This window comes from Homo sapiens, chromosome 4 (assembly GCF_000001405.40).
Source record: "Homo sapiens chromosome 4, GRCh38.p14 Primary Assembly".
Taxonomy (NCBI): domain Eukaryota; kingdom Metazoa; phylum Chordata; class Mammalia; order Primates; family Hominidae; genus Homo; species Homo sapiens.
Window position 1 is genome coordinate 20514777 of NC_000004.12, and position 21326 is coordinate 20536102.

Below are 21326 nucleotides of genomic sequence, written 5' to 3' on the forward strand. Positions count from 1 at the left end.
CATTATCATTTATTTTTATTACGTATTATATAAAATTATAATGTTATACTAATATATTGTTACATAGTATAATATGCAATATATTAACAAAACAAAAAACATTCATGTCGTTTTCAGGGATTTTAAAATTTCTTTCAATGTGACATCAACAAGATTTCTATAATATTTAGTAACAATTTCTTAAGAATTCAGCATACTAGTATTTTTAGCATTGTCTGTAAACAGTTTTTATTGTTTTCTGCTTATTACTTGGAAACTTCCTTCTATAGTAACAAAACGTTTTAAGTGTAGTATCATTGTAGCATACTGCTAAGCATATGACCTTTAGGACACTAGGTGGCTGTGTTCAAATCCTGGCTCTAGTACTTACTAGTTAGAGGCTGAGCTAGTTACTAAATTCCCTGGGTATTAGTTCTTCCATCTCTAAAATGAGGATAAAGTTACTTCCCTGCTGGCTTTGTTACGGAGTAAACATCAAGAAATAATATGTATGGCCATGGCAAATTCATCTCTTGATAGAAAGCAATTTGTATGTTTCTGGATCTCAATTATCCCAGAGAATCTTTCTTTATGCCAAAGGTCCTCAATATATGATTTTTCTCTTTTCCCATTCTTTTCATTAGCCCTTTGTAAACTATTTTAATTCACTTACTCTAATTTCCTTATTTCCTTAACTAGCTCCCAAATTCCACAGGGGTCTACAGTGGAAGACTTTAACACTGTACTTAAATTTCTGGCAACCTTTTCCTAAACTGCTGTTAACTCTCCTGCCCAGTATCTTGCATTTTACTATAGGTTTTCAATGAAAATTAAAAGGTAGCACCTCTGTTTTGTCCTCTGCTTTATCTTTACTGTACTCTTCTAAAAATCACTGAAGAGTTATAATTTTCAAATGTATACATTTAAAAAAATTTATAAGTATAATTTCCTTGACATTTTTTTGAATAATAAAGTATCTGCCCATAACACCTTTTTCATGATAGTCATCTTATAGGTTGCTGTTTTGGACATTTTTTTTCTCTTCAGTAGGAGTTGTCTTCTGCCAGCTTTCTTTTTTGAGACGGAGTCTCGCACTGTCACCGAGGCTGGAGTACAATGGCGCAATCTCGGCTCACTGCAACCTCCGCCTCCCAGATGCAACTGATTCTCCTGCCTCAGCCTCTCATGTAGCTGGGATTACAGGCGCCTGCTACCACACTCGGCTAATTTTTTGTATTTTTAGTAGAGACAGGGTTTCACTGCGTTGGCCAGGCTGGTCTTGAACTCCTGACCTGGTGATCCGGCCGCCTGGGCCTCCCAAAGTGCTGGGACTACAGGCGTGAGCCACTGCGCCTGGCCTCTGCCAACTTTCAATAAGAGCACAAGAGCTCAAACACTGGTCACCAGCTATTGCTGCCTCTTACTGTCCTAATGCTGAAACTCACAAGGGCTAAATTGTGTTTAACGTTCTTGGCCTTCCTTATAGCAGCAGGTACAAGAGCTACCTTAAAATTTCCCTATTGTTCAAAAAGACTAGCAACAACAACAACAAAAAAATCTCTATCAGAGTATATGTATATTGTACACATATAATAGTACGTATGTATATACTATCTATGTGGTATGCTGAACATAAGTCATGTATAAGAAACTGTAGAAAAGATACTCAATTAGTCATTCTTGGTATTTGGATGATATTATCCACATCCCTCATGTATTGATTTTCTTTTCAGCTGATACCACTTTTTTCTTTCAGTTTCTTTTAAAAATTTCTTTTCCTCCAACAGTGTAGGACAAATTCTCACTGGCCTTCTCTTAGTTTATATCTTTATGTGATGATATTTCTTTCCCTCATTTTTATAGATTTTGGCCCTATTTCCTGGGCTGTCATCCAACTTCTCTATCCTGGTCTTTGGATTTTGGTATATTTTAACTAATTTTCCTTGCTGTCATTTTGATCTCATTGCTATGTAAAATACTGTACCCAGCCCTAGTCCTGCTAAACCTTTCTGGAGAAATGTCATTCCCATTACATTGAGTATTTCTTTATTATTTTTATGGTTGATACTCCATATAGCAATAATTCCTATACACATAGATTTCCTGTATCCTAGTGTAATTTCCTCCTTTTTTGCCGTTTACCCACTTTGTCTCATTAACAATAGCATCTGTTACTTTTTAACATGGTCTTAAAGAAAGCAGTGATTTATTGAAAAAAATAATTACACAATATAAATACGATGCATCTCCTAGCTTGTTCTCCTTTCATGCTATTTGGGCCAACCTTCAAAGCAGAAGTCTCAAGTGAACAACCTACTAAATTGTCCACCCCTTGATACTCATGCAGGTCCTCCACAATTTATATACATCTTTGTTCCTTTCTAAATTGCAGTGGATTCACAATATCAGACTCTTTGACTATTCAAAATTACTCTTTTGGATTGCCCTTTGAAGCCATACCTTCTTTATCTCAGTCATATCAGTGCCTGAGACATGGGCAGATGATGGGCATTCAAAAATGACAGACTCAATTGAATTGAGCACCAACCTTAGAATCTGGCAAAGTTACAGGCACATAGTAAGTGCACAATCTCTATTGTTGAATGAATGAATTGAAAGATATTGAATTGAATATCCCAGACTGGTGCCATCTTAATCTACTCATTTGTGTTTCCTAATGCCCTCTCTTCTCTTAATCTTGACCTCAAAATATATATTTATTCATGCCTTATCTTTTCTAATTCCCTTTCTACCTTGTTCTGGACAATATAGAATCCTCTCTTTTGTTCTTTGATTTTTAAAATGGTTTCTTCTCTAATTGATGTACTTTTCTAAAGAAATCTATGTTTTCTACAAACAAAATTTCATGTTCTATTTTATAGTTATATCATGGAATCTAAAGAGACAAATGGAATATCTCTTTACACTATAATAGCACCCGGCTTTATTTATTCCTTTGAGGATTTTCTTCACATTTTATAATATACCTTACCTCTCTCTGACATCTTGAAAGAGGAACAGCTTTTCTCTCACGTATTCATCTCTCTTGTATAGTTATTTTCTTCCTTTTCAAAAAGAGATTATATACTGCTGCCAAACGTATCAATTATTTAGATTCACATTTCAGCTTTTTCTTTATATGTTATGGCAGCCATTTGTTTATTTCCCAAAAGAATATATCTCTGATCTTTGAAAATGATATATGCTTATTTTAGAGATATATTAAAATACACAAAAATATGTAGATGTAAGTTCAAATCACCTCTGGATGGCAAATCATCTGCCATCTAAATATGTTTCCCTTTTATTTTGTGCATATATGTGTGTGTATATATATATACACACACATATATATACATATACATATATATACATATACATATATTTATATATATACATATACATACATATACATATATTTATATATATACATATACATACATATACATATATTTATATATATATACATATATATGTGTGTGTGTATATATATATATATATTTTTTTTTTTTTTTGAGACAGAGTCTCGCTCTGTCGCCCAAGCTGGAGTGCAGTGGCGCGATCTCGGCTCATTGCAAGCTCCGCCTCCCTGGTTCATGCCATTCTCCTGCCTCAGCCTCCCAAGTAGCTGGGACTACAGGTGCCCACCACCATGCCTGGCTAATTTTTTGTATTTTTAGTAGAGATGGGGTTTCACTGTGTTAGCCAGGATGATCTCGATCTCCTGACCTCGTGATCCGCCGGCCTCGGCCTCCCAAAGTGCTGGGATTACAGGCATGAGCCACTGTGCCCAGCCTATATGTATATATATATATATATATATATATATATATTTTTTTTTTTTTTTTTTTTTTTTTTTTTTTTTTTGAGACGGAGTCTCGCTCTGTCGCCCAGGCTGGAGTGCAGTGGCGCGATCTCGGCTCACTGCAAGCTCCGCCTCCCGGGTTCACGCCATTCTCCTGCCTCAGCCTCCCGCGCAGCTGGGACTACAGGCGCCCGCCACCACGCCCGGCTAATTTTTTTGTGTTTTTTAGTAGAGACGGGGTTTCACTGTGTTAGCCAGGATGGTCTCGATCTCCTGACCTCGTGATCCGCCCGCCTCGGCCTCCCAAAGTGCTGGGATTACAGGCGTGAGCCACCGCGCCCGGCCATGTATATATTTTTAAAACAAAACTAACATAATACTTTAACATGCTTCTTTTTTACTTAATGTTGTATCTTGAGGACTTTTATGTCACTGTATACTCTTCTATACTTGATTCTACACTTAGCATTCTTCTTTGTCATATATAGTGTGCTCTCATTACATATGAACTGTGTATGCGTGTGAGTAGAAAAACAACTTAAAAGGAAACATTTCTATGAAACGGCAATGCAAGTGGAAATGATATATACATATATAAAATGTTCTTTATTTTTCTGTTTTCCAAATGTTCTACAGTAAGCATATATCTGATCTGTAATCAGGCAAAAGACATTTGCAAATGGAGTTTGTTTACTCAGCTATAACTTTTATGATGTATTGATTGCCTACTAGCTTCCTGTATGCCTGAGTAAATATGTATTAGATGAATTTGTTATGCAGGTTTGGTGTCTAATTTTTTTCATTTAAAATATTTTTTTCAGTGTCCTCTATGGAAATAAAATCACAGAACTCCCCAAAAGTTTATTTGAAGGACTGTTTTCCTTACAGCTCCTGTAAGTATTTGATTGTTTTGGATCTCTCGAGCCTAATAATATATATTAGCCATTTTGTTGTCTCATATTTTTATGGAGGCCTTGGAAAAATTTGACTCAAAATGATACAGTTTAACAAAATAGAAAAGAGTAGTCCAGTCAAGCTAGTATTCGTGATTATTTACTTGAAGACACAACTTTTTGGAATAGTCCCCAAACCAATTTTATCTACACTATCATGAATGTATGCATTCTGGCTTCTCTATCATTTAAAGCTTCTACAATCCCTGTCTTTGTAAAACATCTCTGTTTTAATGTAACCAGTAGTTGGAACCGAGAAAAATATGGTGATCACTTTGGGAGGCCGAGGCAGGTGGATCACGAGGTCAGGAGATCCAGACCATCCTGGCTAACACGGTGAAACCCCATCTCTACTAACAAACAAAAAATTAGCCGGGCGTGGTGGTGGTGGGCCCCTGTAGTCCCAGCTACTCAGGAGGCTGAGGCAGGAGAATGGCGTGAACCAGGGAGGTGGAGCTTGCAATGAGCAGAGATCGCGCCACTGCACTCCAGCCCGGGCGACAGAGTGAGACTCCGTCTCAAAAAAAAAAAAAAAAAAAAAAAAAGATATGGTGATATACTCAGCAACTTTTGTCCAGAGAATCTGCAGGAGCGACAGTGCTGCAATAATTTCCTCAAACGGATGGTGTGCGGTGAGCTGTAACACACAATAGTCCTCAGACTAAACCTTTAGAGAGATAATTACCTGTAAATCAAAGACCACTCTGATTAGACAATAGATACTACTCATTTGTCTCAAAAGAAGTATTTACCATACATATTTGCAAAAAGGAGATTTAACACCATGTGTTTTAATGCATGCCCATATGAAAAGTAAAGTTGGAAAAAAATGCAAATATTAAAACTTGGTGGTTAATCATCAAATTCTATTCATATCATCAGAGGACCTCATTTGGGGCACACACTGGCCTATATGCTTTAGATACAAAGATAATTGTGTTGTAATTTTTTTCTTAGTAAATCTCCCTTAAAATCCTTACGCATACAATGTTATTTTCCCTCTGGAGTGTATTTATTTCTTGGCATTTATTTGGTAACGATTTATTCCTAATCCCACAATCTTCATGTATATATATAAATATATTCCTGAATTTATAAACTTACGTTCTTAAGTACATCCTATTATCCATGTCTTAAACTTTTTCACCATTATGCAGAAATGTATTTTACATTACACCTTAGCACACACACACCCAAACAAATGAAACAAAATGTTAATGAAACAATAATGAACCTTATTATATGTAGTGCTCTCTTTTCTGTTCATCCCCACCCCAATTCTCTCTTTATTTTCTCAGTGCTACATAACCCAGTAAATTTATTTTACAATAGACCAATGAGTCATGAGAAATACTGATTTTGTAACTTAATGACTTTATTTGGGTTTCAGATTTTTCTAAGCTTTCCATTTCTGTTATTAAATATTGCTACTAATTTGATAAAATTATGCTATTCACAGCCTAGATGTCTGTACCCATTGTAGATATAGCTTGATGCTGTAACCAAGTATTGCCTACTTGTGACTCACCTCTCTGCCATTCTTCCACATTCCCCTAGACTTACTCTCCATGCCAGTTATTCACAATCACTCTATCACTGCCCTATCTACTACAAATACGTGAAGTGTCACCTTCTTTTTCTTTCCATCCACACTTATTGGTAGTTGATGTAACACACATGCTAATAAAATATGGAGATCTATATAGATAAACCTTACTTCTAAAGCCATCTTTATAAAGTTTCATTTCTACACTAAGGCTCATTCTTAAGCCTGCCAGAGGGAAAGAACGGCATGATTATCTCTTTACAGCTAGCTGAGAACTTGGTAAAATTAAGTGTCTTAGTTTTGGTTGGTCAGAGATTAGAGAGAAGAGGCAGGGAAATAAAAGAAACAAAACAGATTGTTGTTTAATATTTATTTACTGTTCCTTGGGCCACACTGAGTTAAAGTGAGTACAAACTGCATAGATGCAAGATGATGCAAAACAACATCTTTCAGTTTCCTCAGGCTCCACACAATTTCATTGTCCTTGTTTGCTCTCTAACTGCTTCACTCAATTAGATTATTAAGTAAAGAACAGGTCAGCATTACTTGAGTTGTGGCCCAGGGAGGAGAGGTGTGGGGTTAATCAGCCCCTGTCACCCACCATTTCTTGAAGGCTTTTAAGAAGGTATTACATATACCGGAGGGAAGATGAAGCTTCAGCTCCTGATGGGGAATCAAAGAGCACAGCCAATTGAGTCACCGTGAGAAAGTCATCACTTTGCATGTTGCTGATGTAGCACCTTTAAAAAAAAATCAAGTAAAATGGAAATAACCCATGTTAACATAGAGATTGTTTTATTGTCAAAGGAGAAAATATTTTTTAGTATGTTAGATAATGAGGCATACCCAAACCACATTACACATATTTTTTGAGCTGTTACAAATTTGTTAAAAGTTCTAAGTATCAAAGCACTGAACTAAATATAGCTAGATATAGCTTGATGCTGTATCCAAGTATTGCCTACAGTTTCTCCCTCTTAAGGCGGGAATTTAAAAAAATTTCTCCATTCCTATGGAGAAAAATATTCTTTCTCTCCTTATATAATAACACGCTTCAGACCATCACCAAAGGGACCTTTTCACCTCTTCGGGCCATTCAAACTATGTATGTATAAGTGATTTGGATCACAGTTGATGACATTGTTTCCACTCTGAATGTAAGAGTTGAGTCCATTGCAACTCATCTATAAAACTGTCCTGTATGTGTTTCCAAAGGCATTAGGCCCAGCACCCCTTTATTTGTGACTGCCATCTCAAGTGGCCAGTGGATTATCTCCATACCAACCCTATTGAGACCAGTGGTGCCTGTTAGGGATGGAGAAAAAGAATATTATTTAAAAAAATTGTCCTTCCTGAAGAGGGAGAAACTGTCATTGGACAAATAAGCAGGTCTGCATAAAACAGTTGACAAGACTGCATAGCATGGAATGACATTTTGAGGAACCCAGAGGGAGGAGTACTCTGTTGGGTGAAAGTTGAGTTCAGAAGATGGTTGAGGAAAGTAGAGAGCAGAGTACATGCTGAAGAATAAACCTAAGCTCACACACAGTCACATCACCGAGAATGATGTTTGCCAAAGTATAATCCATAAACTACAGTTCCACAGAATATTGATATAATACATAGGGGAAAAAGGAGTTTGTGGGGAATTATGTTAAAAAGTTAAACAGGTATTTATAATATAAGACTACAGCCTATACTAATGTACCATGTGACTCTCCAAGAGGGTTGTAAAGTATTCATTCAACAACTGATATTTATTGAGCTCCCAGTATGTGCTGGGCAGTCTGGGAAAGGAAGGGAAATGAAATAGACATATGGATGATTTACTGTGGGGGTAGGGAGGCAGGCATATAGATGACAGTCAGCAGTAACATAGTAAGTTGTGTAGCAGAAAAAAAATGTATATATTTTAGAAAATAGAAATAGATCAAAGTAAAAGGAATTGAGAGTGCTAGGGGTTGGGAAGGGGTCAAAGACAGCCTGCATGTATTAAGGAGAGGGGTGCGGGAGGCTGGATTGAGAAGGCAGTATTAGAGCAGGCTTGACATCTGGGAGATGAACATTTCAGACAAAGAATAGGAGAGCCTGGTGTGTTTAAGAAAGGCAAGGAGATCAGTGATTGGAGCTCAAACAGCCAGGAGGAGAGAACTGGGAAGATTGCAGAGTTCTGAAGAGTGGGCTACAGGTCAGGCTGTTGTGACGACTTAGGTTTCTGCTCAGAGCCAATTGGGAGCTGTCGCATGGTTCTGAGAAAGGGGTGACATGATCTATTCCATGTTTAGAAGGATCACACTAGCTACTGTTTTGAGAATAGCCTGAACTACTTTTGCACAGAGTGTCCTGAGGGATTAATGATGTCTTAGAGCATTTTTATGGTGTCCTTGCCAGTGGAGGCTGGGTCTCACCCACCTTTGTGTACTATCCCACCTTTGTATCTTCCAGAGGAAATGGTTAATAATGTGTATTGAATACATGTATAAATACCACTAGATTTAGGTTCATTTGATCACATGACTTTTGTTATGTGGTAAAACCCCACATCTCTAGCCTCTAATTCCTAAATTATTAAAGTTAAAATGTTAGTGTTGAGGTGAAAAGAAATATATTTCTTGACTGGGTTTCCTTAAAAAGCACAAAATCTTGCAGGTGAGTTAATAAGATGCTACACTTTAATTCTACAACTATTTAATCAAACAGATTATTGAATGCCAACAAGATAAACTGCCTTCGGGTAGATGCTTTTCAGGATCTCCACAACTTGAACCTTCTCTCCCTATATGACAACAAGCTTCAGACCATCGCCAAGGGGACCTTTTCACCTCTTCGGGCCATTCAAACTATGTATGTATAAGTGATTTGGATCACTTTTGATGACATTGTTTCCTCTCTGAATGTAAGAGCTGAGTCCATTGCAAGTCATCTATAAAACTGTTCTGTATGTGTTTCCAAAGGCATTTGGCCCAGAACCCCTTTATTTGTGACTGCCATCTCAAGTGGCTAGCGGATTATCTCCATACCAACCCGATTGAGACCAGTGGTGCCCGTTGCACCAGCCCCCGCCGCCTGGCAAACAAAAGAATTGGACAGATCAAAAGCAAGAAATTCCGTTGTTCAGGTAATTTCTTCACGTGTTATTTCCCCTGTGACCAACAACAATGGTTACATGAGACCTAACAAAAGCAGCTGGCCTTCGGCTGATTAGTGAACACTGTAGAATCATATTTCTTTTTCTTCTGCCCATGAATAATAAAATAAAGAGGACTGTAGACCCAATTCAAATAATACTTCTATATGTAACATTTTAACACCATATACAGCAGAAGAAATAGGCAATTGACCAAGTTAAAAAGATGCCTAGATACTTCATAGTACCTTTCCAAAATTCAAACTTAACCAGAGCCTTATAGCTAACTCAGAATACCTTTAAAGTATGTTAAGTCTCATGTTTGTTGAATTGACCAGCCTCAAGTAATTAACTGTGTTTTCATTTCTTCAGAAAGTGAATTGAGACTTGGTTACATGATTTGTTTGGGCTCAGAAGTACAGGGGCGCCAGGAGGGACTCCAGATCCCTTGCTTCTTACTCTGAATGCACTTTCTCAGTTTGCATTCTCTTATTTTGCATACAACCGTGAGGATGCGTTTTTTCCAAAAGCTATTTTTAAAAATATTGTGGGAATATTGCATTTATTTGTAAAAAGCTAAATATGAATGCATTGTATTGATATTAAATGAAAGGCTGCCATCATTCAAATTTACTGTTTGCTTTGATCTAATATTTTCCTTTTTTATGATAGAATATTTTATGTCTTTTTGGTACTATGCTACCTAACTATTCCAGGCGTATTTCACATTCGGCAGTTAATTTCATACTAAAAAGCTAATATAAGAACCAAGCTGGTTATTGTCCATAATTATAGATGCATTTACTACTCACTGTACATTATTGTACTTCAGTCACAGCTGTGAATATACATTTTTCACTTAATTGCAGTAACTTTAGTCCATTCTTAATCTAATATAACTCATATCTCTGCTTGCTGACATTCAGGTGCATCTTCTATTTTTTGTCTCTTTTTTTATTTAGCTAAAGAACAGTATTTCATTCCAGGTAGGTTTTGCTCGGTAGTAGGACTAACTACAGACACCCTTTCCTCACCTTATAAAATATAGCTTCTAAAACTGATATGCATGCTTCTGAAAGTACAGTGGATACTCTATAGATAGATTGACTTATGCATATATCACTTGTAGCTGTTTCCTGAAATCCTGACCTTTGCATGCAGCTTCTGATGTTAAACATATATTATTAAACTCCACCTTTTCTTCTCTTTCTTTTACTTTGGCGCATTATCTAAAATTTCTCACAGTAGCTAAAATGTTTGAAGCTATGGCTTTCTACTTAAATCATTTTCTCTCCTTACATTGTATATCTGATCTTCCAACCTGTTTTTAAAATATAGCTAATTGAGCTGGTTTTAAAGACAGAGATCTTTCTGATGTCAAAGAGCTAGTTCTACATGAAATCAGTTACACACAGAATTTCATTTTCAATCATGAAAATTACTTTTTTATAGATTCTTATATTTAAAAACTGTACTTATTGCTTTACTTTTGCTTCACTGTTTATAGAAAAACAGCAACTCCCTGCTGAATTATATGCAGTTGTTTCTTATTTGTTTATGACTTTACATTCTTCTATATCCAGAATTACAATATAACTCCATAAAAAAGAATATTTATGTGTGATGTGAAAGCATCAGAAGTTCATGGGCACAAAATGCCTTGAATAATTTAGGCAGATGGATAAAATGTTTCTAAGAAAAGTAATCGCAATGTTTTACCACTTCAATCGTAACACTATCAAGACTGATGATTCTAGAACTAGCTCTTTAAAATACGTTTCTTTACTTATTTTTCCTTGCCTGCCAATTGTGTAAAATGCCTCTTGACTTGTTTGTTTTAAACCATTATGTTAAGTATCGATTGGCCACATTCACCGTCTCTTGGGTATATTCTAGACTATAAAAAATTTTAAGAGCTATAGATTAAAAGATATTTCTACAGCGTTAGTGTACAGAGTTAGTCTAACTTTCCATATTTTCTTAAGAAGAACTCTGGGTTTAGTCTCTATTTTAAGGAGATATTTGTTAGCTTGCCATTATTGAATTACAATTTGTATAATTTTATGGATTTAGTAGATTTGGTGATATGACTTATTTTGAGCTTGAATGATCAATAGCATTGTATATTATTATACTGGCTGCATAACAAGTAACATGTTGAAAAGAACAGTTGATTGGCCTTCATTGACAATGTTTAATATTAATTACTTTACCCAATTAAGTGGAAAGTAATCTGATAGCTATTATTTAACCAGAAAAAGCCATATTCTAAACACCAGACTACCTATAGAATAAAACATTAATATGATTTAAATCCTAAAATTATGGCAGTAATGTAATTGGTATCAAATTATTCAAACTATTTCATTTAAATATACTTAATTAATAATTGGTAAGTTTAATATTTCCAATTCACTAAATAAAGAACAAAAGTCAGGTTGTTTTCATATATTCTGATATAGTTTTTCCCTGTTACTGACAGCAGCCAAAATAGGATTTGGAAATTATCTTTTATATCAAATATCATGTCTTAAGTTTCAATTTATGATAATTTAATTTACATTCTTTAAACATGATAATTGTAGAAGCCAGGACTCAAAAGGATCATTTGGGCTTCCTCCCCTTTTTTCCAAAAATTTTAATTAAAATTTGAGTCCACCTAACAAGCCACCATAAAATAAGCATTATTACTGTTCCGTTGAATGCAGATTATTTGAATTGCAAGATATCCAGTGTACCTGTCACTTAGACTTTGTGCACTCTTATTTCATTTTGGAGTGAAGCATAAATCATAAGACACCAGATCCTCAGTAAATATCATGGCATTAACTGCCAAATGTAATGAAACGATTATATTTACCATCGCAAACTTCTTATGAGATTCTGATTCCATTTCCACTAAGACACATTATTTATAAGTTGAAAAGTTCATTAAAAAGTGTACATCACAACATAAGGATTAATCCAAATGTTGTAATGATTGTCCTTGAGGATCTCCATGATTAGTTTTTCATTCACTTTTACGTGTGTACCTCGCTACTACCATTTTATATGGCACTCTACATATTACAGTGATAAAAGAAAATCTGTCTTGCAGAGAGTTCATCTTTTTTTTTTTGGAGATGGAGTCTCGCTGTCTCCCAGGCTGGAGTGCAGTGGCATGATCTCGGCTCACTGCAAGTTCCGCCTCCCGAGTTCATGCCATTCTCCTGCCTCAGCCTCACCGAGTAGCTGGGACTACAGGCGCCCGCAACCATGCCCAGCTAATTTTTTGTATTTTTACTGGAGATGGGTTTTCACCCGTCAGGTGAAATGGTCTTGACTTCCTGACCTTGTGATCCGCCCGCCTTGGCCTCCCGAAGTGCTAGTATTACAGGCGTGAGCCACCACACCCGGCCTTGAGAGTTCATCTTTTAAAGGAATCAAGAACTTAATTTGCACTATGCATCTTTTATTACATTGGTTTTCTTGTGAGACCACCGTGCTTCAAAATATTATTTATAAAATTTTACAAAGCATGACAATTCCCATCACATCATGCTATTTTTTCAATAATTCCCATAATAAAGAAAGAAGGAAGAGAGCTTAGTTTTATAAATATGTATATTAATCTTAATTGGGATTACTCTTTCTTTCCTTCTTGGTGATCTTTACTTTTGCAGGAATTCACCATTTTGGCTGTAAGTAAAAGTGTCTGATCTGAAACATAATACCCTCCCTTTTCAATCCTGATGTACCTTCTTCTAGTCTTGGTCTTTGGCACCTTTTTTTCAAGAAGAAACCACAGATCTTTTGAGCTTCTCTGTTGTCCTTGTAGCTCACCTTCAACTTCTTCCTGGATGTTGTTCCCGAAAGCTGTTGTTTCCATTCTGCAGTTCTGAGGAATGGTGGAGGCACCTTTTCCATATAGCCCCTTCTTTGTGTTTCCAGGAAATCATCGGTAGTAATACTCTTACTGTGGTCATAAACATTCTGCGGGAAGAATGCATGTCATGTAAACAGTATTACGTTTCCAGAACGTCTGTAGCTTTTCTCCTCCTTCCCTCCATTTTCCTCTTGGTCTTACCTTTGGCCTAGTGGTTGGTGTAGTGATAATGTAGCGAGATTTTCTGTTGTGCTTGATCTAACCATGTGGTTGCGAGGTATGAGTAAAACATGGTTCCGTCAAGCACCATGGAACGTCACGCAGCTTTCTACAGCATGACAAGCTGCTGAGGCTTAAATCAGGATTTTCCTGTCTCTTTCTACAAAATCAAAATGAAAAAAGAGGGCTTTTTAGGCATCTCCGAGATTATGTGAGAGGGAGAGAATAGTAAAAAGTCCATAGAAAATTTAAAAGCCTGAGTATATCTATTTGCCTTGAAAGCCCTAATTTACAATGAGATATAGGATCATGTTTATTACTGGATATATTTTCAATTCTTGACTCCGAGAAAAAAAATAAACTTTTTAATAATTAATATCCATTGTGTGACTAGCTGTGAAGTAGGCTAGAATGACTCAGAATTGGATCAGCAGAAAGTACAGCTGTGAAAAGCTCAACTTTATTAATGTTTTCCTGTCATGTGAATCTGGTCACTCTTTTTTCCAGAAAATTCCAAGCCTTTCTTTTAACCTTTCTCCTGACATCCATTGACCAAAATACCCCAAGTTGTCTCCCTGCTACATAATCTATAGTTATCTTACTTTTTTCTTCCTACAAACTAATAAATTTTCTAACCTTTAGACTCAGTATCTTTTTTTTGGTTTGAATTCTCAATAGGTACAGAAGATTATCGATCAAAATTAAGTGGAGACTGCTTTGCGGATCTGGCTTGCCCTGAAAAGTGTCGCTGTGAAGGAACCACAGTAGATTGCTCTAATCAAAAGCTCAACAAAATCCCGGAGCACATTCCCCAGTACACTGCAGAGTTGTAAGTTCATCCCCCAACAAAATTCTGGTTGGGATGGAGGGAATGAAAGCATTAAAGCATAAGAATGTTTGTCTTGCCATTTTTATTATTAATAATTGCATTAATTTTAATTAATATGCATTACATTGGCATAACTCTATTTTGTACAAGAATATATTAGAGGCTACCTTCATTCATCTTTCTAGCCAACCATACGATTAAGTACAGAAACTAATTTATCTCTCAAAATTCAGTAAGCACTTCATACTAATAACAATGGTATTTATTTGATGCTTATTTATTGGGTATTATTTATTCCCAATTTGTTTTCTAAGTACTTAGTTTTTAACGTATTTAATTCTTATAGCAACTAAATAAAGTAGTTTGAGAGCCTCCATTTTCAATCTCTGTAAACTATCAATAGATTCAAGGAGTCTGTCTTACCTAATTTACTACTTCATTGACTTACGGGCAGAAGGATTCAGTGGTTATCAAGTATTAAAGTAGAAAGGATAGCTTTTTCTGAACAATGCAAGAAAAGCTGAAAAGGCAGAATATGATGGTATTTACACTTAACAGCCTTAACATAGGACCTTGCACATACTAAGTGCTAAGGTGTTTGTTGGAGCACTTACAGATTCTATGCCCATGCATGGTTTGCCTTTACTGACTTTATTTATAAGAAGAGGACCTTTAATGTTAGTGTTCTAACAATTCAGGGAAAAAACTAGCAAAACCTCATCATTCTCTAAACATCTTAGCCATGTTTATATATAGCACCATCTGGTATTTGTCATTTACTGCTTTGCAAAGTTCGTTGTCTGTTTGTTTGTATATAATCCTTCCATCTTTAACTAGATTATAGCTCCTTGATGACAGGGATTGTGTGTTATTGTTTATCTCTCACTGTGCCTATACTCATGCCTGTACTTAATTAATTTTTAGCAATTTGAATAACTAAAAATAAAGTAATGCCTTTCAAAGAGTTGACAGAAACCCACTATCTTGTAGTTATAGTGATTTTTTTTTTTTTACTCCTATTAGTTGATGAAGCTATTTCACAGCTCCAGGAATTTTAGAAATGCATGGAGTCCATGCAACCAAGGCCCTGAACTTTATTTTTTATAGACATATAGGGATTTATGCTTATTACCTATAATACTACAAACAAGTGATACCTTCCAGCACAATAGTACTTTTTTTTTTTTTGAGACAGAGTCTCACTATCTCACCCAGGCAGGAGTGCAGTGGCACAATCACAGCTCCCTGTAGCCTTGGCCTCCTGGGCGCAAGGGATCCTCCCACCTCAGTCCCCCACCCCCATCTCCCCAAGAAGCTGGGACCTCAGGCATGCACCACCACACCCAGCTAATTTTGTACTTTTTGTAGAGATGGGATTTTGCCCTGTTGTCCAGGCTGGTCTTGAACTCCTGAGCTCAAGCAATCCTCCTGCCTCTGCCTCTCAAAGTGCCAGGGTTACAGGCATGAGACACTGCCCCTGGCCTAGCACTTTAAATAAGTTTGTTTGTCATGGAGGAATTATAGTGGAAACTAGCCTCCAATTTAGACTTCAGCAAATGTGTGTAATGTAAGAGATTTATAATTTTTTTAATTATATAATAAAATCAGTACTGAGAATAAAATATTTGCAAGTCATGTATCTAATAAGGCACATAATTCAGAATATATACAGAACTCTTATAATTTAGATTAAAAGGTATTTTACTCAGCTAATGAATGGTTAAATTATTCATATTGACCTTTCTCCAAAGAACATATACAAATGTCCAATAAACACATGAAAAACTGCTCAATATCATTAGTTATTAGGGACATTCCAATCAAAACCACAATGAGATACCATTTTAGACCCACTGGAATGGCTAAAAAAAAAAAACAAAAACAAAAAGGGAGAGTAACATAGTGGAAGAAATTGAAACCCTCATACATTGCTGGTCTGAATGTAAAGCTTCTATGGAAATCTTTTTTGCTATTTCTCAAAGAGTTAATCACGATTTACCATGTGATCCAGCAATGCCCCTCCTATGTATATGTCCAAAAAACGACAACATATATCCAGGCAGAAACGTGCACACCATGTTCATAGCAGCATTATTTATAGCCATCAAAGAATGGAAGCAACACAAATGCCTCCTAACTGATAAATGGATAAACAAATGTGTCATGCCTGTGTAATGAAATATCATTCAGTCTTAAAAAATAATGAAGCACTGCCATATGCTACAACAGGAATAAGACATTACACAAAGCAAAAGAAGCCAGACAGAAAAGGCTACATCTTACATGATTCCGTTTATGCAAAATGCCCAGACTAGGAAAATTAGTAAAAGCAAAAAGTAACCTAGTGGTTGCCAAGGACTGTGGGGGAACAGCCACCAGGAGTGACTGGTAGTAAGTATGGGGTTTCTTTTGGGGGTAATGAAAATGTTCTGGAATTAGATAGCAAAGATGGTTCCACAACTGAATTGTATGACTTTTAAAGGGTAAATGTTCTGGCATGTGGTTTGCATTCTAATAAAGCTGTAATTTTTGTTCCAATTGTGAAGCAAACGATTAGGGAAAAAACAGTCTAGAAATCCTTTTTAGTGGGGACGATAGTGGAAAAAATTAGAGAAAATTTGTTCTAGAGATTACTGAGAGCTGGTTTTGATCTTTGTGTTTTTTTTTTTTTACTGTGTGCTTCCTAACATTTTATTTTGATGATTAAAATTTGAATAAAATGAGAAAAAATATCAGTATGTTCCACAAATCTTCTGTGATTTATGTATTTCCTTTTATTTTCCTGGTATCATTAAATAATGTTAGAATTCATTTTGAGAAATCAAATTTAATCCTTTCCTAACTATTGGTAATAAAACTTCTCTATTCCTTCTTTTTTCTTCAGGCGTCTCAATAATAATGAATTTACCGTGTTGGAAGCCACAGGAATCTTTAAGAAACTTCCTCAATTACGTAAAATGTAAGTCACTTGTTAGCTATTTTTTTTATTTCTGTAGCATTTTTTGGGTGTTCATTTCAGTTAAGTTTCTTAGAAAATTAGAAAATACTAAAAATCCTGGGAAATTTCCCTATGATGATGACCTGTAACATGAATTTAGGGTAATCTCTGCAAGGGACTTTTCTGTGTGTTCAGCAGTGTCAATCACATTTTCTGTAGCAGAGCCTAAGCATCTTACTTTAACTCAGACAGCTGGTCTGTTATGTGGCCACAGCAGGAATCCAGCAATCTAAGCACATTAAAATGGGTTCAGTAATGTTTTGTAACTTCCTTTACTATTCCCCAAACCATGCTGTTATTTTTTTTTTCATGTCAACTATTGGACTTTTTTGCTTCATTAAACTTTCATTAGAAGATAGTCAAAATTAATGATTGGTAAACTGGCTTGATAGCTCATCTGTGTTACTACATGTCCACAACTCATATTTTAAAATAAGTTCATAAGCTCAGCAGTTTCAGCAACACTCAGTGGGTTACTCCATGCCCCTGGGGAGGTGTGACGGGGAGACAGGACATAGGTCAATAGCATGGGACCAATGGAGCGCCCTCACACATGCAGAAACATCAGCATCAGCTCACTTTAGCTGTGTGTCCATATATGTAACTGGCCCATAGTCACATAGACTGTAAGTTACCGAACAGACTACTTGTACAGATGGCATCCATATTAGCCTACCTCCCAAATGGTTTCTGATATCTTAATTGCCCTCCTTTTTCACTGTTATGAAATGTACTTTCTTTTTAGCCATAAGATGATTTCCCATGCAACAAATATTTATTAAGAAGCTACTGTGTGCAATTCTCTCAGAGAAATTAAAATATGCATAAAAATGATCCTTGTTTGGGAGACACTCCTGGTCTTGGAGTGATCAGTGAGAAAGAGAAAGAAAAAGCCTATAAACAGTTGACCTCAACTAGATACTCTTGCCTTCTGGCAAGCATTGTAGTAGTTGGTATCATACGTAGTACTGACAGTTAATTTGGTTGTTTCAACACATTATTACATGAGACATTCTTCTGGGAATAAACCCATATTCAAATACATTCCTGATGCTATATATAAAACACTAACACATTTTAGCCCATCTATCTCCACCTAGTTGCCTTCTTTTAGTCATTAACATTTGACAATTTTAATCAGGGACTTTTTTTGAAAAGTTTCTTGTTAGGTTTTATAGATGGCATAAAGGTTTGTGTAACCCAATACCTGACCTCAAGAATTTTATACTCCTGGAGACCCTTGGAGAGTATGACATGAGTCACGCTGGCATTTTTTACCACAGACATTCCCTGTTAGTATTATTGTCCCTTTGTCTTGATGGTGTAAGGAAGTGGAATCTTTTCAGAGCCCTGGCAGTGCTGGGCAGTGAAAAGTTGGAAAACTTGGATCATTAGAAGAAAATTATCAACTATGTTTCAATTCCCACCTTGTTAGAAATTATTTAAAACCTTTGTTCCAACAATTTTTATTTAGAAACTTTAGCAACAATAAGATCACAGATATTGAGGAGGGAGCATTTGAAGGAGCATCTGGTGTAAATGAAATACTTCTTACGAGTAATCGTTTGGAAAATGTGCAGCATAAGATGTTCAAGGGATTGGAAAGCCTCAAAACTTTGTAAGTATTTGTACTTGCATTGCAGTTCTTCTACCAAAGGATTGCAGCTCATTGTTCATTATAATCCTGGGAGAGAGAAACACCTACTTTTACCCACCCCACTCCCTCTATCTCTTTCACATTCTCTGTTACACACACATACACACCGCTACACACACACACATGTATTGTGAATTCAGATGGTCCCTTACCCCAATATTCCTGCCTTCGATGTGTGTTACACACACACACACACACACACGTATTGTGAATGCAAATGGTCCTTTACCCCAATATTCCTGCCTTCGATGTGTTCATAGCAGATGATCAGGAGCGTCCCCCATGGCTTCTGTCTCTTCTACAAAATAGATCATCCTTGTTCCAGTGCTTATATGGATCTGACTACCCTGTCCTGCCTCAAAATGGTCATTTTATTTCTTTGTCTTCAAACACCTCTCTATACTATACTTCTTCTTGGCCCAATGACTGTAAGCTTTAGAATCCCCTTGAATCTCTGCAGTAGAATAATTCTAACAGCTTATCTGGAGACTACTGTTTTTTGCCCCTGCAAGGTCTCAGTGTAAAAGAAAGACAGGCTGGTGATACATCTTCCACTGTTTTTTCAAAGAAAACATGCTAAGAGTTATGTCTACTTGCTCAGGGGTAGGGTGTTTGGGGGAAAAAATTATATATGTTTCCAAAGAGTTGTTGTCCAAGAAATATGGGGATTAGATTGAGGTATTTCAATCAAACATACTTACAACACTTTTGTATTACTTGAATTTTTCATGTGGCATACAAACACGCATATACACACATATACATTGTATCTAAAAAGTATATAATTATGTTTGACAAAAGTGGTAGCCTAAAAATTGGAAGAAAGACAAACCAAACTCTGAAGCCTTTAGAAGGCAGAAAGGAAAATATTTGTAACCAAGAAGCAGTCCTTGGTGATTGTAGTGGGGAGTCTGTCTCCCTCAAACCCACGATCCTGCCCCGCACAGCCTGTGAGAGCCATGTATGACCAGTGGGCTGAAGGCTGAGTCCATTGTCTGCTCTTTATCAGATACGGAGGGAGAAGGGCATTCCCACAGCCAGCAAGATGTGTTTATAGCATCCCAAATTCAAATCCCCACCCGCAAAGCCCTCCCTGCACCTAAGAGCAGAAGTGCATTCCTTGAGTTTTGCAGGAATAGCCTGAAACCTGACCACCCAGCAGGACCAGTCTGGGACCTGCTGACCCATCCCAAGGGCTAACTTGGTGCCCTTTCAAAATGATAGGCAAACATTCACTCAGCCTTGTGATGAAAGAGATACTGAGGACTGGGCGCGGTGGCTCATGCCTGTAATCCCAGCACTTTGGGAGGCCAAGGTGGGCAGATCACGAGGTCAGGAGTTCAAGACCAGCCTGGCCAATATGATGACATCCGGTCTCTACTACAAATACAAAAATTAGCCAGTCATGGTGGTACATGCCTGTAGTCCCAGCTACTCGGGAGGCTGAGGCAGAAGAATCGCTTGATCCCGGGAGGCGGAGATTGCAGTGAGCCGAGATTGCTCCACTACACTCCAGCCTGGGTGACATAGTGAGATTCTGTCTCATAAAAAAGAAAAGAAAAGAAAGATACTGAGGAATGTGTAGGAAGAGGATAGAAAAGAGACCACAGGCGGCTGCATCTAACCTTTTCCAGAGTTGTCTCAGGTAAAATACAAATATTATAACAAGCAGAAGGCTCCCTTTTCAAACAGCAGTTAAAAGGCTTTCTTGATACTGGAACCTTCTCCTGGCAGGGAAGTACCTTGGAGTGGGAGGAAGGCGGTAGGCTGTAACTCCACCTGTATGCATGTCTTCAGGCGGCCATAATGAGCTTCCACAGACTGGATTGCTTACACAACAGAAACTGATTTTCTCATCATTCTGGAGGCTAGAAGTTCAAGATGGAAGTGCTGACAGGGTGGGTTTCTGATGAGGCCTCGCTTCTGGGCTTGTAAACAGTCACCTTCTCACTGTTTCTTCAAATGAGTTTTCTTCTATCTGCTCATAGGGAGAGAGAATGAGCTGCCTGGTATCATTTTCTTCTTGTAAGGATGGCAGTCCGTCAGGATGGGATCCACACAATCTCACTCAACCTCAATCACCTCCCTAAAGTCCCTCTTTCCAAATATACGTATGTTCTGATAAATGTGTCATTAGGCAACGTTGCCATTGTGCGAACATCCTAGAGTGGACTTACACAAACCTAGATGATATGGCCTACCACATACCTAGGCTATATGGCACAGCCTATTGCTCCTGGGCTACAAACCTGTGCAGCATGTTACTGTACTGAATACTGTAGGCAATTGTTACTAACACAATGTAAAGTATTTGTGTATCTAAACATACTAAACAGAAAAGAGCAATA

At 36.9% G+C, this 21326-nt stretch overlaps 1 protein-coding gene and 1 non-coding gene across 9 annotated transcripts in view, besides 1 other annotated feature; both read left to right on the plus strand.

Annotated features, from left to right (window-relative positions):
* The window catches only part of SLIT2 (slit guidance ligand 2), a 368657-nt gene that overhangs the window by 262872 nt on the left and 84459 nt on the right, over positions 1-21326 (plus strand). For 5 of the 8 annotated variants that reach the window (XM_005248211.3, XM_006713986.3, NM_004787.4 and 2 more), the window contains 7 exons: positions 4606-4677; positions 8984-9127; positions 9238-9401; positions 10373-10396; positions 14173-14323; positions 17208-17282; positions 18796-18939. In XM_005248211.3, the coding sequence (XP_005248268.1) occupies positions 4606-4677; positions 8984-9127; positions 9238-9401; positions 10373-10396; positions 14173-14323; positions 17208-17282; positions 18796-18939 (774 nt within the window). Of the gene's footprint in view, positions 1-4605; positions 4678-5311; positions 7389-8983; positions 9128-9237; positions 9402-10372; positions 10397-14172; positions 14324-17207; positions 17283-18795; positions 18940-21326 lie in introns of those variants that run through there. The other 3 variants (NM_001289135.3, NM_001289136.3, XM_011513910.2) reach the window with 2 other exon arrangements.
* Positions 9214-9401: a silencer, noted in NCBI's record as "fragment chr4:20525613-20525800 (GRCh37/hg19 assembly coordinates)". NCBI's record gives its function as "represses an EF-1alpha promoter that drives an FKBP-Casp9 reporter gene in an ReSE screen in phorbol 12-myristate 13-acetate-treated (for megakaryocytic differentiation) K562 erythroleukemia cells {active_cell/tissue: K562(+PMA)}" and the evidence as "EXISTENCE:reporter gene assay evidence [ECO:0000049][PMID:32094911]".
* Positions 13499-13608, plus strand: MIR218-1 (microRNA 218-1). The gene has a single exon (NR_029631.1). It is a non-coding gene; the product is annotated as a microRNA 218-1 (primary transcript).